The sequence below is a fragment of the Homo sapiens genome, chromosome 15, assembly GCF_000001405.40.
Source record: "Homo sapiens chromosome 15, GRCh38.p14 Primary Assembly".
In the NCBI taxonomy this organism is placed as follows: Eukaryota; Metazoa; Chordata; class Mammalia; order Primates; family Hominidae; genus Homo; species Homo sapiens.
In genome coordinates this window covers 93,967,590-93,993,185 of record NC_000015.10, presented here as the reverse complement: position 1 = coordinate 93,993,185, position 25,596 = coordinate 93,967,590, and the positions used below count along the sequence as shown (strand labels likewise).

The 25,596-nt window shown below is 40.0% G+C and overlaps 2 long non-coding RNA genes across 3 annotated transcripts in view, besides 1 other annotated feature; one reads left to right on the top strand and one right to left on the bottom strand.

Annotated features, from left to right (window-relative positions):
* The window catches only part of LINC01581 (long intergenic non-protein coding RNA 1581), a 202,536-nt gene that overhangs the window by 114,753 nt on the left and 62,187 nt on the right, over positions 1 to 25,596 (top strand). The window contains exons 4-5 of the long non-coding RNA NR_120320.1: positions 10,165 to 10,293; positions 17,780 to 18,190. This is a non-coding gene — a long non-coding RNA (long intergenic non-protein coding RNA 1581). The remainder of the gene's footprint in view (positions 1 to 10,164; positions 10,294 to 17,779; positions 18,191 to 25,596) is intronic.
* The window catches only part of LINC01580 (long intergenic non-protein coding RNA 1580), an 83,450-nt gene continuing 66,889 nt past the window's right edge, over positions 9,036 to 25,596 (bottom strand). Inside the window, exons 3-4 of one of the 2 annotated variants that reach the window (NR_120322.1) lie at positions 23,491 to 23,592; positions 19,254 to 19,726 (exon numbers count right to left, since the gene is read on the bottom strand). This is a non-coding gene — a long non-coding RNA (long intergenic non-protein coding RNA 1580). Of the gene's footprint in view, positions 9,401 to 19,253; positions 19,727 to 23,490; positions 23,593 to 25,596 lie in introns of those variants that run through there. The other variant, NR_120323.1, reaches the window with a different exon arrangement.
* Positions 9,273 to 11,841: an enhancer, noted in NCBI's record as "VISTA enhancer hs1686". NCBI's record gives its function as "enhancer in: neural tube[12/12] | hindbrain (rhombencephalon)[7/12] | midbrain (mesencephalon)[8/12] | forebrain[5/12]" and the evidence as "EXISTENCE:transgenic organism evidence [ECO:0001131][PMID:17130149]".

Sequence of the window (25,596 nt, the reverse complement as noted above, 5' to 3'; positions counted from 1 at the left end):
AACTCTGGTTTCCTCATCTGTATGATGAGAATCACAAATCCTACTTAATAAGATAGTTATAAGGAGAAGATAAAATAATAATTCCTATAAAATTTTCTGTAAACCATGAAGAGCTAAGTGACATTATTTAAACCTTGCTATTTCTTTAAGTAGTCTCATTATTTCTTCATGTGTCTTGTCTTTTATTATTGTAAAATCAATTGCAAGACATAAACATGAATGTTCTGAGACCTCAGGATTACACCTGCTGTGTGAGTAGTTAGGAGAGGAAGTAAAGTCAGCAACAACTTTCCATGGACTTTTACTGTGAAATTATAATTATAGTAAGACTGCCTTAATGTGATATGTAGTATTTGTCTAAAACCAAGACTTACCATGATATCTAAGGCCAAAACAGTGGGCTCTAGGAAATCTCACTTAAACATGTCACAATATTCTTATTACTCCTATTAATTGATTTTCTTCAGAAAATTCTAGACAGCACATAACTTAAATCATATAAAATTGTTTTCATAGGTCAAGAGTGGGTGAATAAAGGACATGAATAGACATTTCTCAAAAGAAGGTAGACAAATGGCCAACAAACATACGGAAAAATGCTCAGCATCACTAGTCATCAGGGAAATGGAAATTAAAAGCACAATGTGATACCACCTTACTCCTACAAGAATGGCCATTAATAAAAAGTCAAAAAAATAGGTGTTGGCGGATATGAGGAAAAGGGAATGCTTATACACTGCTAGTAGGAATCTTAATTAGAACAATCACTATGGAAAACAGAGTGGAGATTCCTTAAAGGGCTGAATATAGATCTACCATTCGATCCAGCAATTCCACTACTGGGTATCTACCCCAAGGAAAAGAAGTCATTGTATGAAAAATACACTTGCACTTGTATGTTTATAGCAGCACAATTAACAATTGCAGAGATGTAGAACCAATCTTAATGCCCATCAACTATTTAGCAGATAAAGAAAATGTGGGATGGGTGCGGTGGCTCACGCCTGTAATCCCAGCACTTTGGGAGGCTGAGGCGGGCAGATCACGAGGTCAGGAGATCGAGACCATCCTGGCTAGCACGGTGAAATCCTGTCTCTACTAAAAATACAAAAAATTAGCCGGGTGCAGTGGCCAGCACCTGTAGTCCCAGCTACTCGGGAGAATGGCGTGAATCCGGGAGGCGGAGCTTGCAGTGAGCTGAGATCGTGCCACTGCACTCCAGCCTAGGTGACACAGGAAGACTCCCTCTCAAAAAAAGAAAAGGAAAAAAAAAGAAAATGTTATATATATATATTTTTTTCTTTTACATTCCATAGTATGTGGAATACTACTCAGCCATTAAAAGGAACAACATAATGTCTTTTACAGCAACTTGGATGGAGCTGGAAGTCATTATTCCAAGTGCAGTAACACAGGACTGGAAAATCAAAAACTGTATGTTCTCCCTTATAAGTGGGAGCTAAGCTATGAGAAAGCAGAGCATACAGAGTGATGTAATGGACTTTAGAGACTAAGAAGGGGGAGGAGTGTGGGGGAGCAGGGATAAAAAACCTACACATTACGTACAAGGTACACTACTCAGGTGATGGGTGCACTAAAACCTCAGAATTCATAACTACATAATTCATCCATGTAACAAAAAACCACTTGTACCCCAAAAGCTACTCGAGAGGCGGAGGTTGCAGTGAGCCGAGATCGCGCCACTGCACTCCAGCCTGGGCGACAGAGCGAGATTACATCTCAAAAAAAAATTTTTTTTGAAAAAAAGAGTGGGCCAGGCATAGTGGCTCACACCTAGAATCCCAAAGTGCCTAGAATCCCAGCACTTTGGGAGGCCAAGGTGGGTGGATCACAAGGTCAGGAGTTTGAGACCAGCCTGGACAACATGGTAAAACCCCATCTCTACCAAAAAATATACAAAAAAAAAATTAGCAGGGCATGGTGGCACATGCCAGTAATCCCAGTTATTTGGGAGGCTGAGGCAGGAGAATCATTTGAACTTGGGAAGCAGAGGTTGCAGTGAGCCGAGATCATGCCATTGCACTCCAGCCTGGGTGATAGAGCAAGACTTTGTCTCAAAAAAGAAAAAAAGAGTGGGTGAATATTAGCGATTTCCTATAGCTCCACCTAAAATATATCTGAATATCTACAAGAAATAATTCTAAATGCCCTTAAGCTGCACACTTGTGGAGTAAGCAAAGAATTCTTTAGGAAAAGAGTACAATTTTAGTGTCATATTAAAAACTTACATAATTTTTTTTCTTCATACAATTTTGATAAGTTATGTGAGGCCATTTAGTGAACTGGACCTTTATGGGGAAAATTGCATGAGTTCCTCACAAAAAGGTGGAACCAGCTCGAGTCTCTGCTAAGATGTAAGGTTGACAAGGACACATGGTTTTTCTATTCACTGCCCTGCTCTGTTGTCTAGAATTGATCCTGCTCAACCAACTTACAGGTGGTTGGTAAATATTAGGTTGGTGCAAACGTAATTGTGGTTTTGCCATTGAAAGTAATGGCAAAATCCACAATTACGTTTGCACCAACCTTACACTTGCTAATGAAGTTAGCAAGTGAATGGATCGTCACCATATGAGTGTGTATATTATAGGCATTTGCCTGTAGGAAGTTCAAACTTCCTCACGTATTTGATATTGCCCATACCAATTCTTGTGATTCAAAATGCCATGTCCCACTTTACCTACTACTAGCCATGTAATTGAAAGAAAGCTGTTTCTGTGTATGACTCCCATGTTTCAAGTGGAAATAAAAGCATAAAATGAAACCATTTTCTATGATTTTGTGCCTAGTACATAGTGAGAATGAAAATCAAATTCCATCATAATGTTACAATCTCAATTCCTTCTTTAACCAAAACAACCAAATTGCAACCTCATTCTATTCCCTTATCCAATGTTCTTTAAACAAAAGACAGTTATCTTACAGTGCTTCTATTACTCACTCACAGGAAAGAATTTGGGAAAATAAAGGAACTCTAGTTTTCTGGGAGGCCCTGTACAGTGGTATGGATAATATAAAAGCTGTGATTTATCAAGCATTTGCTCTCTGCCAGGTATTATCCCTGATATCCAGAGATGGCATCTACTGCCCTTCATCTTGACCCTCGGCTGACTTGTTTGTAAGAAAAGAAGGTGGCAGTGTGGGTTCCAAGGCTAGGTCAGCTTCCACCATGGTCTCTTGGACTCTCCTGGAACCCTGCTACCATGCTCTAAAAAGCCCAAGACACATGGAAAGACCATATGCAGGCATTCCACTTGAAAATCCCAGCTGATCCCAGCCTTCAAGTCATCCCAGCCCAAGCCCCCAACCTGTGAGTGAGGAAGCCTCCAGATGATTCCAGCTCCCAGCTGTCCCTGTCACCCAAGCTGTTCTCCAGTCTTACTAGCTGAGGCCTCAGAGGCCGTGGAGCAGAATCAGACCACCTCCGATGTGTTCGGTTTAAATTCTTGCCTCACTTATAAATTATTATTAATCCTTTCTGTCCTCCACAGGCCACAGCCATAAAGTCAAAAACAAATGGGAATTGGCCTTAATTGGAAGGAAGTCACTGATTCCAGAATTTATTTTGCTGTGAGAAGGAAGAACATTGACATGGAAACACTCATTTTGAAGTTGACAGAATGCTGCCTGGAGGATTCTAAGAGAAAAGTAGCATGAGTCGTCTACCATGCAAAGGGAAAGATTAGGTCTTATTATAATCATCCTGCCTAAAAGAATCCCAGCCAGTCAGTATAAATAAATAATCAGGAACCTGGGGAGGAGCCAAAGGTCCCAGAGAGCAAATTGTATCTATTAATACATTTTTAAACAGATGGAAGATAAATGAATAGTGTTTGGCATGGAATTGCAATATATTTTTAATACAGCCATTCATGAGATTGCCTCAGATGGTCAGTTGGTGGGCAAGGAATAACTAAGGGAACAGGGCTAGGAACAACCAAGTTTTAGTCACTCCCAGTGGTTGCTAGATTCTTCCCAAATAGAGTTAGGTGAGTCTCAGACTTACATTTAGGAAGCATCTATAATTGACTAAAAGTATAAAAATTAGATTCTGGGGGAAAAAATACCGTAAGTGAAAGACAGTGTTATTTTTTATGAGATGTAAGGGAAAGACAAAGAGAGAAACATTTGTTAATGATAGTATCTTCAGACCTTTTTGGAAGGTGTTTTTTTGTTTGTTTGTTTGTTTGTTTGAGACAGAATCTCGCTTTGTCGTCCAGGTTGGCGTGCAGTGGCGCCATCTTGCCTCACTGCAACCTCCCCCTCCCAGGTTCAAGCGATTCTCCTGTCTCAGCCTCCCAAGTAGCTGGGACTACAGATGCATGCCACCATGCCTGGCTAATTTTTTTTAATTTTTAGTAGAGACAGGGTTCCACCATGTTGGTCAGGCTAGTCTTGAACTCCTGACCTCAAATGATCCACCTTCCTCGGCCTTCCAAAGTGCTGGGATTACAGGCGTGAGACACCACCATGCCAGGCCATAAAATCTTTCCAGAACATTTGTTACCCTATATCTTCCTTGCCCATTCTCTACCTTTTTCCAGTGTCATGTCCCTCATGTTCCTGAGGATCCAGCTCGGGCTATGCTCATTTATTCATTCTCCTGGCATTTGTTGAGCATAAGTTTAGACCAGATGTCATGCTTGGTGCTACATTAACAAAGTCAAACAGTACAGCTTCTGCCTTCAAGGAACTCCTTATTTAGTGGGAGAGACTAATGCCTAAATAGACCATTGCAGGATAGTGCAATAAGTCTTCAATAAGGACACACATGCCGAGGAACCTAGAGAAGCATACAAGAAGGTGCCGAGCCCACCCTGTGTACCTCAAGAAAGGGCTTCCACAAGAAGTTCTGCCAGTCCTAAGGAATGAAGAGGATGGTGTAGGAAATATAGTGATGGGGGAGAAGGAGAGTGAGCAAGAAGGGATCATTATCAAAGCAAGCAGGTGCCAGTGAGCAAGAAGGATCATTATCAATGCACGCAGGTGCCCAGAAAGTGAGAGAGATAAGAAACAAGAATTGTCTGGGAATTGCAATTTCTCCTTTGAGTAGCCCGTCTTGACAGCCTTTATTCTTTAACTGCACTTTGTATGATCTCCCCCATAGCCCTGCTACATTATCAAATCCTTCGCTATCCTCATTATTTGATCGATCTGTCTCCCTGGCTTGGTTATGAGCCCTTTCAAGGTGAGGCTATGTCATTTATCTGAACATCCCTAGTTCCTAGCTCAGTATTCAGTATATGCCTAGTGATTTAGCCGGCCTGCATTTATTGTCAGTGTAAAACACCAACTGATCCAGCTATTCAATAAAATGGGTCTCTGAATTTGATTTTGAACCTAAGGGTTTAACTGGAATAAAACTGATTGCTACCAGGTTGATACCACTGACTTATCTCAGAACCCTGGCTTCCCTTAATAGGATTGACTCACACGATAGGGAGGGCATTTTCAAATCAGGAAGACCTTGATGGAACTCTGCTTTGCTCCCTGACAACTGAGGGCCCCCGAAGCTTTCCACCCCTTTGAATCTTGTGGTTCATAGCTGTAAAATAGGAAAGACAATACACTCAAAGGTTTGCGATGAAGATTCAGTGAATAAAGGATTGGAATCACTTCCTAGTGATTGGTACAGGCGAGGCACTTAAAAGAGGCGAGTTGTATCTCCTTGGATCTCACCTCCCTTCTTTCCAGCTTCTATCTTTTATGAACTGGCCTGAAGGCCATAACCAAAGAGAAATACGAATCATTAATGCAGCTCCTCTTTTATTGCTGTGGGCACCAGTTACTGAATTCTAGCTGCTGAGCTCTTTGTATACATTATTTCCGATTATTCAGAGCACAGCTCGGTAGGAACCACTTCCGGTTCCCAGGTGAAAAAACTGAGATCATTTGCCCCAGTTCTCACAGCTGGGCAGGGACTGGAATTGTAACCAGGAAGTGGGTTTGAGTGAGCCTGTGAGAGCTGGCTGCTAAGTTTTCAGAAACTCCATGAGCCGATTGTTAAACAGAGCCATTCTCTAAAATTAAATTATTCAGGCTTACAATTAATTTAATTAAATACATTACATTAAAAAACAATGAAATCCCATCACTACATAATTATTTTCTATATTTTACTGCAATTTATGTCAAGAGTCAGCAGAGAGTCAAGAATCAGCCTCCTAGTTATGCTTGGCCCACCACCTCTTTTTGTAAATAAAGTTTTATTGAAAGACAGCCATGCCCATTTGTAGAGGGGAGCTGTCATGTGCCAGGTGCTTTAGATTAGCAATCTCAGTCAATTTAGCAATGTAACATTAATCAGTCATAATATTGACTGATAGGATAGAGTCAGGGCTCCTGGGATTTAATTCGCACCCAGTCCTAACTTGGCAAGTGTGACTTTGGGGAAGTGGTTTAACTGCTCTGTGCTTCAGTTGTCTACATCTGTACAATGGTATCTTGTGTCTTGGTTCCTGGGGAATCAAACAAAAAACTGCTTACAGAGACCTTAGAAAAATTCGAGGCACTAGCAACAGGACAACAAATGTTGGTCATTATAGTTTGATCCTTTCCAGGAGATGGTAGGTCAGAGATCATCCCAGGCTAGCCAAGAAACAGCAAGAGAGATCAAATGACTCACCAAAGTACACTAAGGACAGCAGCCTAGATTCAAACCCAAATCTTTCCGATATTTAAATCCATGCCATTTCCAATAGACCATGTAAGGTTTAAATGACAGAGCATTCATCAGGGACCCAGCCCTGTGCTCAGCCCATTTAACTGGAGATTGGGTTTTTAGTAGGCAAACAAAGAGAGATTAGGATGAAGAGGGTTATTGGAACTATACTATAGAGGATTTTTTGTTTGTTTGTTTCCGTAATCCCAGATAAAGGAACTTGTACTAAATTTGGAATTTGCTAAGGAGCTATCAAAAATTTCTCAGCAGTAGAGAGACATGGTTTGTTCTGTCATATTATGTAGAAATCTGCTCCCAAATCAAGTAACAGTTGGTTGTGTTTGGTGACTAATCAAATCACCCATCTGTGGGAAAGTTCCAGCTGCTTCCTGCGTAACCCACTGGGTCCTCTGGCTGAAACTCACTAACCAGTGCACATCTCCGTCGGTGGCAGCATAGTACACATTGCTTTCCAAGCAAGATCCATCCCCTCGGAGCATTTTCTACTCTTTCCTGTCTTTCATGATCACATCCCAATTAATTAAGGAAGTCTTGCCAACTACTACACCTTAAAGCATTCCCTGCCTTCAGGCCCCCCAGAAACTACCCTCATGTCCAGCACCCATGGTCTCTCATGATGGCTGGAAGTCTGTATAGCACAGTGGTTACGGCTCTGTGTCTGACCTCACCAGACTGCTTGGGTGGTGTTCCTGCTCTGCCGGGTGGATAGAACACCCTGGGCAAGCTACTTAAACTTTCTGGCTCACAGTACTATTGAGGAATTTAAAAAGTTAACACTACTGATGTGCCCAGAACAGTTCCTTGTACACAGGAGGAGCTCAATAAATGCTGTTGCTGCTGACACTGATAACTGGGTTGACAACATCTTGTAACCCAATATCTGTGGATCCAGAGTCTCCTCACGCTAAAGCAGTGTCCACATTAGTACCTGAGTCATATTTCTAAAACACTTGCCACCTCTCCAGCCCACTCTGCTACCAAACTACAGTTTCTTAATGTCTGTGCCGATCTTGCCTACGTATTTACATTAATGTTGCTTAGTATGCACCTCAGATATTCCTCATTATACAGCTCTACACATCCCCAGGGACATCATGCTTTATTCTCTTCCTGCCACTTTATGCTTCAATAAGTACCAAGTACTTAAGATCCCTGGAACACGCACCATTGTGACTGTTCAAATTCATGCGTCTTCAGAAGAGTCTCTTCCTTAGAGAGATTAAAGATCACTGTATTCAGGTCTTCTTTTCCTAATATTCAATCTCACTCTTATTATGATTTATTTTTCTTTGCAGCGCTTGTATGTTATACATTTACTTTTATATTTATTACGGGTCTGTAGCCCCTACTGGAAAAAAAAAATACTTGGCAGACTCCTTGTCATATTCATCCTTGTATCACTAGCCCCTAAAAGGGTGTCTGTTCATCTAAAATTGAGTTTGGGTGTACCAAGCTCCAGCCAATCTAGTAAGTCCTAAATTGTTGAACAAAAGAACAAAGGACAAATGATGGTACAAATAAAGGGATATCTCGTGCCTTTGTGCTTTTCTATAGCCTAGTCTCTCCGAAACAAAAGCCTTTCCCACCTTGTCTTCCCTGAGAACTCTGATTCATGCATCAAAATCTATCTCAATGACCAACTCCACCGTAACACTGAGGCAGGAGAAAAATAGAGAAAATGAGGCCGGAGAATAGCAAAGGGAATTAAAAGTTGGATACAGCACAGAATAAGTAAAAGCAGAGAACAGAAGCAAGGTGAAGGGATGGGTGAACAGGAAGGGAGATAAAAAGCAGATATTCAGCAGCCAAAAAAAAGTGAGATAAAAAGGTGAGCAAGGACCCCATGACCAGCAAGACTGGGACCAAACCAGTAAGAGGCAGCGCTTCAGAGATGGGCATGCACATTAGAGAGAAAAAGTATCCTTAACATAACCTTGTATGATAATCAGCTACTTAAGGTTCATGCCTACGGGCTGCATATCATGCATGTACTTAAAATTATGGGATAGAGATGATGCACAAGCGCACAGGGGCCAAAGTAACTAAGCAACACACCTATCAATCTAAAGGGTAGACACTGGCGAGAGATTAGGCAGCCTTGGGAAGAGAAGAAAAAAAAACACATAAAAAGACCCAAACTACACCAAACTGATGGTGATCTCATCTCACAGAGGTCAGTTCGCTCTCCTGCTCCGAGAGTGTAATACTGAGCTTCATACACTTTCATCGCTTTGCTTTGCTATGTATGTGTCTTGTCCAACTCTTTGTTCGGGACACCAAGAACCTGCAACTGAGTGGCACCATCTGGTAGCAACACCACCCTTGATTTTCACTCTAAGGTAAAACTTTCTACTTCTGCTGTTTTTGTGACTTGGACTTACAAATGATCACAACATGTGTGAGTATTTAAAAAGTTGTCCCATTTGTAGCCCGTAAGACCCTGGGGGCAGAGCAGAGACGGGACTTTGACAGGGCCAGCATAGACTTGGACATAGGCATTTGTGACCCTTAGTAGAGGTTGCTGGATTGAACTGTGTGCTCCTAGAGGTCCTTAGAATGCCTTGCAGATGCCTGATATGACAGGGGAGAGGACTGTGCAGGATCTCTTCAATCACAAATTCAGAGCCTCCAGGTCACAGGACAGAATCGGCTACCCACATCTTTCATCAGCCTTGGCCTCAGGGATCTGCAGCTTTGCTGCAAAAGAATCACAGAGAGCAGATGTTAATGGTGGCCTATGTTTGCATTTAGTGAAGAAAATTCAGGGAACTTGTATGCAAAATTAGCCCAAGCACCGAGCTCATGGCAGCCAGCCAATTCTGTCTACTAGCCTCCTGTACCCTTCCTTTCAAGGTTTCGAAAAAGTCAAAGGAAGCCTGGAGATTCCAAAAGAATTTTCAGTGCAAAGCAATTTGCATGCCAGAAATGTCTTTTCTCTCTTCCAGTTAGGCCCTTCTTCTCCTTATTATTGTTATTATTATTTTACATTGTGCATAGATAGAAAGTGGACTAAATAACTGGGGAAGATGAGTTTGGTTGTACAAATTCCTGCTGACCTAGTGAATAAATGTTAGCAATAGAGGCCAGTGAAAAGGAGAGGCTGAAGGGATATGGGGGAAAGAAATTGATAGAAGATGAACTTTTCACATTCAAGGTTAATTCTGACCAGAGATACCAAAAAAAAAAGATATTTTTTCACCCCTCAACTCTAGGAACATAGCTTGCATCAAATGTTTCCAAGATTGTTTTAAATCTTTTCTGTGGCTTCTATAGGAACCCCTAATCCCAGGTCTCCCTCTCTCTTTCTCTCTCCCTCTCTCTCTCTCTCTCTCTCTCTCTCTCACACACACACACACACACACACACAGACACACACATCTCATCCTAACCCCCATTCTTGTCCCAAGTTAATCTCTTTATCCTTGCCATCCCTAAAATTGTTGTATATGTTCTTATGGCAGAGACTAAAGATGTGATCACATTGGATATTTTCTTACAAAGAATAAACCACTAGGACATAATCCCCAAAATGCCACTTTTTGGCCTGAGCTGGGATCCCTGGATGCAAGCTGCCACCATCCAGTATCTAGGTAGGAAAAGTATATCTGACAGGATGTGTCTGAGGATATTTTGCCAAAAGCAGTGAATATTGGGCCAAAAGCAGTGATTATTGGGAGAATAAAGGGCTCCGATGAAAGACAAGTTCTCACTCAAACACAAAGGGTGAAATAAAGGCATTTCATGGAGACAGAATGGGGGAAAAGTCCCATTTTTCTCTGGTTTTCTGTTCCTGTGAGAATCAGAGTGAGCACAAAACCATGAAAACAATAGGCCCAGCTGCAGGGGCAATAAGGCAATTTATTAGGGAGATGACATTTTTAATGAGAAACACTTGCTGGAGGAGAACAAAAGGGCTTGTTTGGTCAGAAAGATGCTCTTGAATCTCTTCTGAAGTGCATGAAAAAGTAATTTCATTTACGCATCATACCCTGAGCTGTGGAATTTCCTCAGGCTCCAGATGTTGTCCGGCGCAGATGCTGAACAAATGGAACAAATGTCCTAAGAGGTTTTTTTTTTTAAGCAACTCAAGGGAATTTTATGAGCTTTGTGGCCAAGAAAATCATTAGCAAATAATGAGCTTAAGAAAGAAAGGCTGAGGTTAGCAATATGTTGCTGGACGTACAAAACTATTCATAATCATCTGCAATCGAGACGGATCAGTTTTCAACTTAGAAAAACAGAAATCAGTGGGTGTAGCTGCTGTGTTTTGGGCTTCCTCACTGGCCTTCTGAAAGTGATTTGGTAAATATTGTGTTGGCTGTATTCCAAAAATAATTAAAAGCAACATATTTATTGTTTGAGATTTGAAAATCTAAAACACAAAGATTATTACCTTATAGTAGTAATTCAAATGCTTCCAGAGAAGGGGCAACACCACTCTTTTGGCCTGAATTCTCTTTTGAGGGTCCTGAGTTCTTCACCAGCTAACACACAAGGTGAGCCAGTGTCCTGAGGCAGCTTTAATAGGAGAGCCTAATCAGGGTGCCCCTCTGTGCTGACTGCAGGGGCTGTAGTGCTCCCTGAGGGAGCCACCAGGATCTCTATATGGCCTTTTTTCAGCCAGCTTCTTTCTCTGCAGCTCTGACAGGGGCCTGTATGAGTGGTTTTGGAAGATCATGATGTCACGCAGGGTGCTTTAGGTCAGGATCTGAGAACCAACTATGTTTGAAAATTCAGGACATGGCCAGGCATGGTGGCTCATGCCTGTAATCCCAGCACTTTGGGAGGCCAAGGTGGGCAGATCACCTGCGGTCGGGAGTTCGAGACCAGCCTGATCAACATGGAGAAACCCCGTCTCTACTAAAAATACAAAATTAGACGGGTGTGGTGGTGCATACCTGTAATCCCAGCTACTCAGGAGGCTAAGGCAGGAGAATAACTTGAAAACGGAAGGCGGAGGTTGCAGTGAGCCGAGATCATGCCATTGCACTCCAGCCTGGGCAATAAGAGCAAAATTCTGTCTCAAAAAAAAAAAAAGAAAAGAAAAGAAAAAGAAAATTCAGGACAAAAGAAGTCTCTGATTCAAGTGTCAAGATCTGTGCATAGGACTCAAGTCATGAGTGCAACTTCAGTCGGGAGGGCTCATGTTAGGACAGTAAATAAAGATACAGGTGCACAGACTGGTGCAGCCATGGGCGAGAAGGCAGAAGAAGTCAAAAGATAGTCACTTCTATCCTTGAGCTAAAAGGGCCAGATGTTCTTTAAATGTCTCACCAAGCCCACGTATAACAGGACTCCAAGCTCCTTGACATCACTTGCATCACCATCAGTGTCATCAGCATCACAACAAATATGTTCTTTCAGCACTTACTATGCATTTGTCATTATCAATAGCTATGCATAACCCTTATCCTCACAAATCTGCAAAGCAAATACTAATGTCCATCTCCACATTTTAGGGATGAGACATTGAAGCCCAGAAAGGTTAAGTAAATTGTTCCAGGTCACATAGCCAGTTAGTGGTAGAGAGGGTGCCCATGGCACCATCACCAATGTTCCTGGTCCTCAGTACTTGATAATGTGCTCATGCATCGATTCTTGGACCACACTTGTAGCATCTGGGCTTAGCAAGGGGGAGATGTGTGAACTAGGAGGAGTGGCCATACAGACCAGTGTTTAGAGATCTGGCCAGGGTGTTGCACCATAGAACAGCTCTGTCCAGCTCTGGGAAGTGGTTTTTAAATAAACCTCTTCAAAGCAGTAAATTATCTTCCATCTCTTAAGCAGATGGATGATAAACAAAGTCAGTTAAGTAATGTCCATACATGTATTAACCTAGCAGTTGAAACATGTGTGGAGATCTTTAATCTGTCAATGAGATTGAGTGGGAATGCTGTAAGCTAAGGCTTACATCAGGACAACTTTAGCTGCAATGAGTACAACTTTCCTGCATCAGGACAACTTTCACTGTTGTCTGTTTGCTGGCATTGTCTACCTGGCATTGACTCAATAATAACGCAGAAGATGACATCTTGATCAAGACCAATTAACACATTCCTTGCAGCTGTTTATTGCTATCTGCAGTGAAGACAGCATCTGAGGAAGCAGCTGGCAGCCATTGCCTTTTCCAAGCAAAAAGCAGCTCTTTCAGCACAGAAATCAGGTTGGCCTTAAGCCAACAAGGGTGATAGTGCTTTCAAGAACAGAGGATAATCAAGGGTTTTTTTTTTTTCTTTAACCCTAATATGACTGAATTCTGATCAGAGTGTTTGAATAGAAGAAATTGGCCAAAAACTAAAATGTCGTTGGTCTCCACGTACCTAGGGCTGGTGAATGGGCACAGGGAGTGACTTTTGTAGAACCAAAACCAAAAGAGAGCTTTTAGAATTGGAAGAATGAATTGCAACACTGATGGCTACTAGCTATTGAAGACCTTCAATGTATAAAATACTGTGCCATCCATGCTGTGTGTTTTCCCTTTCATTCTTTCTAACAGTCCTACCAAGTAGTGACTATTGGTTTTCTTTTGAACATGTTAGGAAATTAAGGCTCAGAACAGACAATTTGTTCAAGATTACACAGCTGGCCAGAAATGGAGTTGGAGTCACAGTGAGTCTCCCTGAAGTGAAAGCTGGTACTAGCCACCACTTTTTTTTATTTTTAATTTTATAATTTTTTTTTTTTTTTTTTTGGAGACAGAGTCTCCCCATGTCGCCCAGGCTGATCTTGAACTACTGGGCTCAAGCAATCCTCCCACCTCAGCCTCCCAAAGTGCTGCGACTACAGGCGTAAGCCACCACATCTGGCCTTGTGACCACTTTAAACAAAGTTAAGACCCTGTATGTTTTTCTATAATTAACCAAAATGACCAGTAACTTCCTAAGGAGAAGAGGATAAGTAAATTAGTTTTGGGATGAAGAGAGAGAGGTTTTGAGAAGGTGTTGTTAAGTTTGTGATAAAGTAACACAAAAGCACTCAAAATAGCTCACATAAAAACCGGGGAGAAATTGGTGCTAGTTTATAGTACTGAAGGACAGGATGCAACTCTGTTTTTCAAAAGGGGCTGCACTTACATGTAGAAGCCAGCAGCAGCTTTCTTCATCCTTCTTCTCTTTTTACCTGGTTTCATCCATGCTTGCCCCATCTTTACTCCCTTTCCAGACCACTTTTTCCTCCTGACTGACCAACCTCTCCACAGTGCACCAGTTCTCAGTTCAAACGACCAGTCCAGACTAATGAAAATGACAGCTTCGCAATTAGAATCTTCCAGAAGGAACTTCTATTGGCTCCCTTTGAGTTAGAAGCCTATTAAATCCTGCTGCTCCTCCCCAGCTTCATCTGGCACCTGCATTCACCTGCATTCACCAACCTGGTGGCCAAGGTCCTGCCTTCTGAGATGGAATGCACTAGACAGCAGCCATCGTTTGCCTCTGTGGAGCCTTTCCTATGATTTCAAGCTAGTCTATTGGCTTATCTGAGCTGACATTCGTAATGGTTACAGCTCTTACCAGCTCGACCATTTACCGACTCTAACTGTATGGATCACTTACCTACACTGAGTCACAGCTTGCTTCTCTAAAAGGAGCCAATCATCATAATGACCTTATAGTATTGTTGAGAAGGCTCAGTGAAATCCAACCTTCCAGGTGTGGTGGCTCATGCCTGTCATGCCAGCACCTTGGGTGGCTGAGGGAGGGACGATCACTTGAGGCCAGCATCTGGGTAACATAGGGAGACTCTATCTCAAGAAAGATGAAAGAAAAGAAAAGAAAAGAAAAGAAAAGAGGAAGGAAGGAAGGAAGGAAGGAAGAAAGGAAGGATGAAAGAAAGAAAGAAAAGAAAGAAAGAAAGAAAGAAAGGAAGGAAGAAAAAGAAAGAAAGAAAGAGAAAAGAAAGAAAGAAAGAAAGAAAGAAAGAAAGAAAGAAAGAAAGAAAGAAAGAAAGGGGGGAAGGAAGGAAGGGAGGAAGGAAGGCAAGGAAGGAAAGAAGGCAAAGAAGGAAGAGAAAAGAAGAAAAGAAAAGAAAAGAAAAATTCAGTCTTAACATAGTGTTCACCAAGTGCTGGCAATTATTATCTCAAATGTTAGCGGAGTAAACTACTGTGAAGGTGAACGAGGCATGAGATATTATATCTTTTTAATAGATAAAGACACTGAGGTTCAGGGAGTTTCAGTGATTGCCTATTTTTTGCATAATTTGTAAGTGAACTACAATTAGATCCCAGAGGACTTCCCATATACTATGTCTTTTCATGCAAGAAACTGCAGCCGAGAAAAATGGCCTCTATAGAGAAAATGGCAAATATTGAGTGGGGATGGGAGTAGGGTAGGATGGGTCTCCAGTGAACTCCTGCCCCTGACTCTGACTATCCCAAGATTCTTCCCAAGGGGAAGACTTTTACATGCCTCCTCTTCTGCCATCCTCCCACTTTGGATGTTACTATAGGCCTTAGGCCACAGGCTGTATGTGACAAATCTGAAAGAGTATGTTTTCCACATACAAGCCAGTCAATTTTTGTGCTTCATCTTTTTCAAATAAAGGTCTCAAACATAAGGAAATTAGGGAATGATGATTTTTAAATGTTCAAACATTCTTCCAAGGGATTTTTGAAAATTTAATGAAAACAATCAATCCAAATGAAGTACTCCTTTGGTGGGGGAGTCATCCTGTCTCCTCTCCATGACTCTCCCATCCGTGCAATAATGTTTTTTGTGTGTGACCCACATACTGTGAAAGAGGGCAGGAGGAAGCAGTAGGTTGAAGGAAAACAGGAAAATGTGTTGAGGTTATCAGTCAAGTAGACACTCTTTTCTCCCCACCCCTCCAGAGTTTATCACCAATCCAACAGGTTAGTCAACTGTATTTTCTTTTTATGTAAAAGGCTATATAATTTACCAGCCCTGGGAGTTAGAAGGATAAAGCTCTATAGTATCATAGCTAAATATGTGGCTATAAGGCATTCAGAGTTCTAAACACTAGACAGTGGTAAAATAAAAGAAGTTGGGGCATTTGAGGGTCTGGGGTGACTTCTCTCTTGGGTTGAAAAAATAATTCAAATGTGAATGTTCCAAGGGCAATGCAAAGCCAGGCTCAAAGCTTTTAGTGCCAATAGGTCCTAATTTGTGGGTGGGAGAGAGCAGCAGGCAGCCCCTAGCCTGGGCAATGATCTCCTAGTCAGGCAGTGCCAACAGATAAAGACACTGTAAAGTGTCTTGTAAAGTAATTCCAATAAGAGGTGGCCAGGACTAACTAAGGGGATTCGATGGTACTGGAGCCATAAAGGAGGGAGTCTGTAGGACAATGAGAGATATTGAGAGAGGGAAGAACATTAGGGACAAAGAGTAATGTATGCATAAAGAAGAATGATGAGCCACAAGGCTTAATACACTTAGAAAAGTATATACTTTTATACCCTGAAAATTCAGTGTTCTACTGTACTGAGTCTCATCCTGGTATGGTGATCTTGATGCTGTTGGTAGATGTTCTCGTTCTCCTGGGAACACGGTGGGACAAAGCTTGTTTGCTTCTTTGAAGCTACGTACAGCCATGTGATTTGACTTGGCTAATAAAAGGACTAAAGTGATGTGCATCACGTATGAACTAAACTTTTAAGACCCACATTTTCTTCCTACTGCTGTGGGAATAGTGAAAGTGCATGTTGTAATGAAGTGCACATGATAGAGGGACCATGGTGAGTGAGCCAAGCTCCTCTGACAATCTTCATCGGACGTCATGATAGTTAATTTTATGTGTCAGCTTGACTGGGCTAAGGGATGCCCACATAGCTGGTAAAACATTATTACTGGGTGTATCTGTGAGTGTGTTTCCAGGAGAGACTGGCATTTGAATCAATAGGATGAGTAAAGAAGATTGCCTTCCCCAATGTGAGCACCATCCAATCCATTCATGGCCAGAATAGAACAAAAAGATAAAGAAAGGGTGAATTTGCGCTCTCCCCTTGGGTCTTCTATCTTCTCCTGTACTTGGACATCAGAGCTTCTTTGAACATCAGGACTCAAACCATTCTCCCTACTGTCCCTGTTCTCAGACCTTTGGCCACAGAATGAGAATTATACCATTGATTTCCCTGGTTTTTGGACCCTTGGAATAGGACTTAATTATACTACTAGCTTTTCTGGCTGTATTAGGCCACCCTTGCATTGCCATAAAGAAATACCTGAGGCTCAGTAGTTTACAAAGAAAAGAGGTTTAATTGGCTTATGGCTCTATAGGCTGTACAGGAAGCATAGCTTCAGCATCAGCTTCTGGGGAGGCCTCAGGAAGCTTACAATCATGGCAGAAAGTGAAGTGGGTGCAAGCACTTCACAAGGTGAAGCAGGAGCAAGCAAGAGAGAGAGGAATGTGCCACATACTCTTAAATAACCAGATCTCATTAGAACTCACTCACTATCATGAAGGCAGCACCAAGAGGATGGTGCTAAATCATTCATGAGAAATCTACCCCCATGACCCGAACACCTCCCACCAAGCCCCACCTCCAACATCGGGGATTACAATTCAACATGAGATTTGAGTGGGGACAAGTATCCAAACTATTTCACTGACTCTCTAGCTTGCAGATGGCATATTTTAAGACTTCTCAGCTTCCATAACCACGTGAGCCTATTCTCATAATAAATCTCTTATATCTTTCTATGTATGTATGCATCTATGAATCTATGTATCTATATATGTATGTACATATTTATCTAATCTATCATCTATCTATCCTATTTTTCTCTGTTTCTCTGGAGAACCCTGACTAAAATAAATACCTAGAATAATTCAGAATTAAATTTTGTTGTATAATTCACTGAGATTTGGGGGTGGTATGATTTTTCAGCATACCTTAGTCCATTCCAACTGATACTCTTGCAACTGCTAATGTGTTTGGGAGTATCTGAAAAACTCTTTTACATTTTCAAAGCTATACCTGATTAGTGGCAAACTCCAAGGACTCAGCAGCAGATTGATAAAGGAGGCAAAGAGATGTTCTATCTTGACAATTACATCTTTATTCCTGGATTAAAGACCCTCTTACTCACCCTATTTACCACCTCTTGCCTTCATCTCTAGGCAAATTGGACTGGGACTTTAGGCTGGCTTTCTTCCATAAAGCTCTTTCAAGATGGTCTCCTCCGGGAAGAGTCTCCACAACGAAAGCTGGAAAAGGTTTCCTTAACTCCAGACAGATGAGCTCAGAGAACCACAAGAGGGCAGGTGTTCCCTAAATCAGATCTGATGGCTGCCTGGTTCAGACATTGGACTTTAAATTTAAATACTAGTTCAAGACTAACCCTTATTTTCAGTAAAGACAACATAGATGAGCACCGGGTTTGGAATAAGAAAATAACAGTTCTAATGCAGAGATGAGTCTTTGATAAGACTGGATGAACTCAAGGATTTGAAACAGTTTTCTGGGGATCCTTAGAGGCGCCAAGGAAATAACTGAGAAGGCAAGGGGAAGCCCGAACAGAGAGAGTGCAGGTCTGCATCTCAGCTTCCCAGTGCTTCTCGGCTTTATTGTCAACTATTGTGCTTCTCAGGAAGATATTGGTTAAGAGAGGTTTATTTAGCTCTAATCATTTATGACTTAATTATTTTACCCTTACAAGTGAAAAGCTTGTATCTGACCCTGAGCCACCATTTTTTCACCCATTTTTTTGAGGGGGAGGAGACAGAAACATGGCTTTTTAAAATCAGAATCTATCTGGGTTTGAATCTCAATTTTACTTTGGTTAAATGACTTTGGGTAAATTAAGACCCACTAAATCTCAACATGCTAGAAAATCTAATCACCCCATAACTAAAACTCTGCCAAAATATCTATTGCTTGTAATTGTGGAAAGGGATTTCCAAAGGGGTTCTATGTATATTAAAAATTAATATCCCATTACATATATTTATGCAAATGTATATATAATGGGATATTAATTTATAATATATATAGAACTCATTTGGAAATCACTTATATATAAAATATATAATATATATTATAATAGGATATATTTTATATTATATAATATATATGGGAATATATATGGGATAATGGGATATATATTATATATTATAAAAAATATATATTATAATGGGATACATTATATATTATAAAATATAATATATAATGGGATATTAATACATATAATGGGATATTAGAGATAGATGTTTTAGTAAGGAAAACAACTGAGACTTTGAAATGGGCTCAGAACAAAAAGTGAGTGACTATCCTGTCTAGCTCATCCATCTCTTGTTCATAGAAATGCAAATCAATTGTGACTGGTGGAATGCAACCAATTATTGCCTCATGGATAGACCATCAATTTGTAAATTCATTTCAGATTCCTAATTTCCTACATATGCCTCTGCTTTTTATACCAATTATAACATTTACCCGTTCTCTTATTAATTAATAAGCTAATAAAGTCTTTGATACCTGTTCATTTTATATCTATATAAAATTCACAATTATACCATGTCTTAAAAATTATCTTAATAGTTTCAAAGACATCTTACTCTTCTAGCTTTGACCAGAAAAATGAGGAAATGAAGAGAGAGAGAAAGTACATTATATTTTTATAAGGTTTTTGACTCCAAAGAGACATCCCAAATTGCCATTTTCATGTTTCCAACTCTAACGAGTATATAAACCCTGGGAAAATCTCAAGTTATATCTTTTGGTTTATAATGAAGATGCCTAAGGCTCAGGAAAGAAAGAGATTACAATAGTTAAAATCTGGGGGGGGAAATCATGAATTTAAAAATGTTTTTCCTCTGTGTGTCTTTAAAACATAAACATAGAAGATTTATTTTGTAAATCAAGTGTTTGTTCCTTCTGACCGCCCAGGCTCTGGATCATTTTCCTATAGGATTCCACAGGCCATCGTTTTATGGATGTATTCATGGACACATCTGGATGTGCAGAGCAGGATGGTCCAGTACGTCCTCCTTAGACAGGGCAGACAGCCAGCCTTGCCGTAGATCTTTCCATTATCCATGGTGTCCCTCTTGCTCAATGATGTGCAGCTGAAGGAATTGTTTGGGAGAAATGAGACCCAGGGGAGAGCAAAGGAACTCAACATTGTAAATTAAGAGAGACACTCATGGCCTTTCCAACCAGAGGAAAATAAACAGGGTTACAATGAGAACACAAAAAATCTGTCTGGAAAATCCAGTATACGCCCAGAAATCTAGTTTTCTTCCAAAGATTGATAGATGAAGATTTAATAATTCCCCAATATAGTAACTGACACATTAAAATAGAATTTCATAGAATTAAATTTTTTTCTTAAGTCTCATAGGAGAAAGAAATTTAAAAACCATCACATACCTATAAATGGAACATGATAAATGCATATGGAAAAAAGAGCAAATAACTGGGGTAAAACATTTTTTAGAGAAATAAATTGTAAGAAAAAAAAAAAACTTTTGACTTAAAAATTTTCTTCACTGTTAGACCAGAGAAATGACAGTTGTATTCTAAGTAGTGGTATTAGTAATAGGAGTTCTATATCATTATTTCTTTTAGTTTTGTGTTTCTCCTGTTAAGTCTAGGATCTTATACTATCTCTAAAGCAGTTAGGTCACTAACAACCTATGAAAACACATGTAGTATTCCTGGGGACATTCTTTCCAGAAGGCTGAAATTCCTTACATAGAAAGAATCTTTCACAACCATTGGTTAAGGTAAAAATACAAAACTAAAATAAAACTCCCATATTTGAAGAAAAACAATGAGATTCTCTACTTATTCAATAGTAAAGATTAATTTGTTGTTCAGGCCTTAAAATATGCAGGGCACACAGGCACTGAGAGGATACCCAGTTGCTATGGATGACATTGCTATCCAATGTAAGAGAGTGACCTGACAGTCTAGATACATTTCTGGAGGGCAACTAACAACACTTACGACAACCCTTAAAGATTTACATAGCTTTTTCCTTGGCAATTTTCACTTAATGCAATGTGTCCTAGGGAAAAAAAGCATAGACGAACCTAAGGATTTAGCAGTGGGATTGTTTAACACAGTTTAGATTAAAATTGAAACTAATAAAGAACAGCCCTACAGGATTAATGTGCACATTATCATACATCTGTCTGATGATCTTGAAACATCCATCAGAAGTAATGTTGTGGAAAAATTTTAATGATATGAAAGCAAAAGAAAAAGTCACAGGTTCACGATGTATTTTAAATGGAATAAAGCAGATGTAGTGCGAGTGTGTGCGTGTGTGCACAATGCATGTGGACACACACACATTTATGTTTATTTATTTATATTTACTTGTATGTGGATAAACACACCAAAATATTTACTATATTGAATTCTGAGAAACATAAATGAAGATTTTTTTAATTGTTTTATTTTGATTATTTCATTTTGAAAAATTTGTAAAATAAATATTAATTGTAGCAATAAAAAATAGCTTATTTCCATATTGTCATTTATTTTTAAGGTAGAGGGACTGGAAGGAATCTTTATAAATACCTATAACTGTGCCTAGTATTTATATACATAAATGAATTTAAACTTTATCTGAAGCATATAAATAGGTGTTCTTATTTTATTTTAATATATGATCTAATGGTGACTAAGAGACACTCAATGGCTTGCTTAAGGATACTACAAGTAAGTGTTAGAGCTGACATTTGATCCCTGGTCTGTCTCCAAAAACCTTTACTTTCTATTTAAACCTTAATCCTTTAAATGTCTTGGATCAATCAAACTAACAGCGAAATTATAAGTAAGCAAACTCAAATCTGTAAATATATTGATTTAAAAATTATTAACAGGTGTGATTAAAGTATGGTATGGATGTTAAAATATACCTAATAGACATGTTTAAAGGATTAGGGAAAATGAAAATATTTAGAAACTCAATACCTCACCCTGAACCCCTATGAAACCCCTATAGACTCCTGGCATATATACCCACCAAGTGACAACAACTGCATTATACCATTCTTACCAGGAATGTCATTATATTCATGTCTGCAGTGTACTACCATTTGTAAAAATTGCTTTAACTATTGGTCCTTTTATACTTACTGCACTCTGCAGTTGACACTGGCTAAAGAAAAACACAAATGAAAAGTGCTTTACTGGTGACATTTCCAATCCTTGATTATCATCCTCGAGCAGACCAGTAGTGATGCCTGGGGCTCAGTCATTACCCTATCCATTTCTCTCCCATTCTGTCGTAAATATACCAGACCTTCTTCCCTTTTTTCAAACCCCAACACCTCTCCCTACTTTTCACTCTCAGCTAATGACTCTACCTCCTATTTCCCTGAGGGTGGAGAAAAACCATGAGGAAAACTTCTCTACTTCTCTGTCTACCACACTTGCCCATTTGTGCTCTCAGCCCTGACTCAGCTTTTCTTCCTGTTACCATGGATGGAAATTTTGATGCTCCTAGCTAAAGCCAAATTATCACAGAAATAAGGATACTTCTTTCACATTTCTCCTCTCTACTATTAGCTAAGACACTTACCCTTATTTCCTCTATTAAAAAAAATCAGAACACAAAAACACTTGGCCCCACTTCTCCCTTCAACAACTGTGCCATTCTTCTGCTCCCTCTCTACAACAAAACGTAAAAATTTGTCTCTACTTGCTGTTTCTAATTTCCTCAGCTCATTTTCTCTTGAACTCATTCCAATCAGCACTTTCCCTCAATACTCTACTGAAGATGCTCTTGTCAAGGTCACAGCTATATGAGTTGGTTCAATCCTAGTCCTCATCGTACCTAGCAATCAGCACCTTTGACAGAGCCCATCATTCTCTGTATCTTGAAGGTCTTTCTTCCACCCACCACTCTCTCCTGGATTTTCTTCTGTCTCACACTGGCTTCCTTTCAGTCACCTTCTCTTTCTCTATTTGTCTTGTTAAACTTTGATCTGTAGAATATCCTGAGATGCTATTTTTGGCCTCATTTTCTTCTATCTACAGTAATTCCCTGGGTGAGCTCATCCACGTTACGGCTTCAAATTTTGTCTATATTCTTATTACCTCCAAGCTTGTAATCCTTAAAGAGGTCCTCTCCCTAATTTGAACTCTCTACTGGACATATTTACTAAGTTGTCTAACAGGCACTCCAAGTTTAGCGTGTCCAGGGATGGAACTCTATCACTTGAACCCCTGTCCTGCTCCTCCCGAAATATTTCCTAGGTCATGGATGCCATCTCCAGTCTCCTAGCTGGGACACCCCTCCTTCTTGCACTTCTCTCATGCAAATACTGTTTGCTCAACCTACAAAACATTTCTCCACAAATCAGCCATATCCCATCCCATCCATAGCAACCACCCTGATTCAGGTCATCAGCATCACTTAACTGGAATCATTTCACTAATCTGTAGCAGGTCATATGGATTCTGCCCTTTCTACAGTTCATCTTCATCTTAAATTCAAGAGTGATTGATAAAATACTTCTGCTCAAAATTCTTTCCATTATTTCCCAATGCTATCCTCTCCCTACCTCCCTAATCTCGTCTCTGTCCCTAGCTCACTCCACCCTGGCCACCCGGGCTTTCTTCCTATTCCTGGAAGGTGTCAGGCTTACCCTGATCTCTGGGGCTTGCCTTTGGGATCAGGAATACTCTATTTCTGGAATATCTCCTCCCAGATTCTATGGGGCTTGCTCCCTCCCCTCCACCAGGTCTTTGCTCAAGTACCACTCCCTTATTTTGAAGTGAAATACTTTCCCATTCCAGCATGCTCTTTCCTCATTATTATGCTTCATTTTTTTCTTTAGTGGTTGTAAGACCTAACACCCTATAGTTTACTTACTTTCTATCATCTGTCTCCATTTGCTAGAATGAACATCAGGGAGGGTAGGAACTTCTCTGTTTTGTTCATTACCTTAGCTCCCTTGGCTGCATTGAACATTACCTGGAAAGTATACACTCAATAAATATTTGTTAAATGAATAAACAGGTACATGGAAAATAAAAATATGTGCATCTATACATGCAATTGATTAAAATTGTATAAAGATACTCTAAAAGATAGCAGAGATTAGAATAGGACCCTAGGATTAGAGTGAAAGGTGTATAAACAAGATTTATTACTACATATGCATATATATTTTTTAAGAGACAGGGTCTTGCTTTGTCACCCAGGCTGGAGTGCAGTGGCCACTGCAGCCCACATCACAGCCCAATGAAACCTAGAACTCCTGGGATCAAGAGGTTCTCCTGCCTCAGCCTCCCAGGTAGCTGGGACTATGGGCACACACCACCATGTGCCACTAATTGCATACTTTTTACTGTTTGATGCTTGAGTCCTGTAAATATATTACCAATTTAAAAAAGCTATCAAAGTAAGAAAAGAGGTCTACTTGTCAGTCTCCTGATGCAGCAAGATCGCCAGAGTTTTGCTAGATTGGATATGGGCCTCACATGTTTACATTTCTTTACCCGAATGCTTATTGTTTTCTACTTCACCTTCGTCATATTTTCTATGAAACCTTTAGCCACTCCTTGTTGTATTTTCTCTGCTACTCTGATTGCACAATCTCAGTACCCAAATCACAAACTATTTCTGCAAAGACATCATTAGGGCCTTTGTCGGTTAACAGTCAGTTGAGATTACTTTTCTATTTCCACTTATGAAGATTGCTACTGCAGATGAACCAAAAGCCCATCGCAGCCGTTCCAGTGGATTTAGCTGGGACATTTATTTCCACAAAACACCAGATGGTTTAGAAAATTCAAATAATTCAGCGAAGATCCTATTTGGATGACTAACAGGTGAAAAGGAAACCAACATTTATTCGATCCCTACTATGTACCTGGAGCTGACCCAAGAACTTTTCTATGAGCCACTTTACATCACCAAGATGTCATTGCTTTTAGCCTCAGGAATGACCCTATCTAAACAAGTCCTACAGATTCTTCCTAACTTAGTTTCACTGCTACCTCCTTTGAGAGGTCTTCCCTGATGCCTCCATTTTATTTAGTTTTTCTTCCTATAAGAGCAACCTATATTTAATTCTTAATTGCACTCTTCATGTGATTTTTCTTTTGCATTTTTTCACTCTACGTGTCTTGGAGGCAAGGATTCCCATGTGTTACTTCGTGCTTTCTCTCTGGTGCCTGTCATGGTGATTTTCCCATAACAGATGGCCAGTGAAACCTTTTTGAATCAATAAGTAAATTAATTGATAAATTATTTACTATTTTCCATCTTTTTATTTTTTAAAAAAGAATTACCCAGAACTGCCTTGTAGTGGGTAATTTTGCCTTGCAACGGGTCAGCAAAACATAGTATTTCTTTAAAAATTGAAACAAATACTAAAGAAATACTAAAACAGATGCTAAAGTAAATAAAAAACATTTCCCTGTCTGCAAGGTGCCTGGCATGGATGTCAAAATGAATTCATAGCAGAACACGGTGCTTAAAAATAAAGAATCCCAGTGTAAAATAAAACATTTTCTTGACTAAGTTTTCGGTTTCATGATTAAAATACCTTTCACATCTGAGAGAGGAGATAAGCCAAAATATAAATGTCAAGATAAAATTGCTTATGAAAATGTAGTAGAGTTTAGCTTACAACATCCTTAGGAGAACAAAAGTGTCTCCCTGACCAGTACCCAGCAATAGAATTAAGTTATGGCCATTATCTAATGGAAAAGCTTAAAATGTGTCTGACAAGTAGGATCTCTCAATGAGATGGGGCAGAGGAGTTCAAAAACCTCAGAAGGAACCTCATCATAACGAGAGTGTATTCAAAAAACAACAAAAAGGCCAGGTGCAGTGGCTCATGCCTGTAATCCCAGCACTTTGGGAGGCTGAGGTGGGTGGATGGTTTGAGGCCGGGAGTTCAAGACCAGCCTGGGCATCATGGCAAAATCTGATCTCTACAAAAAATACAAAAATTAGCCGGGCATGGTG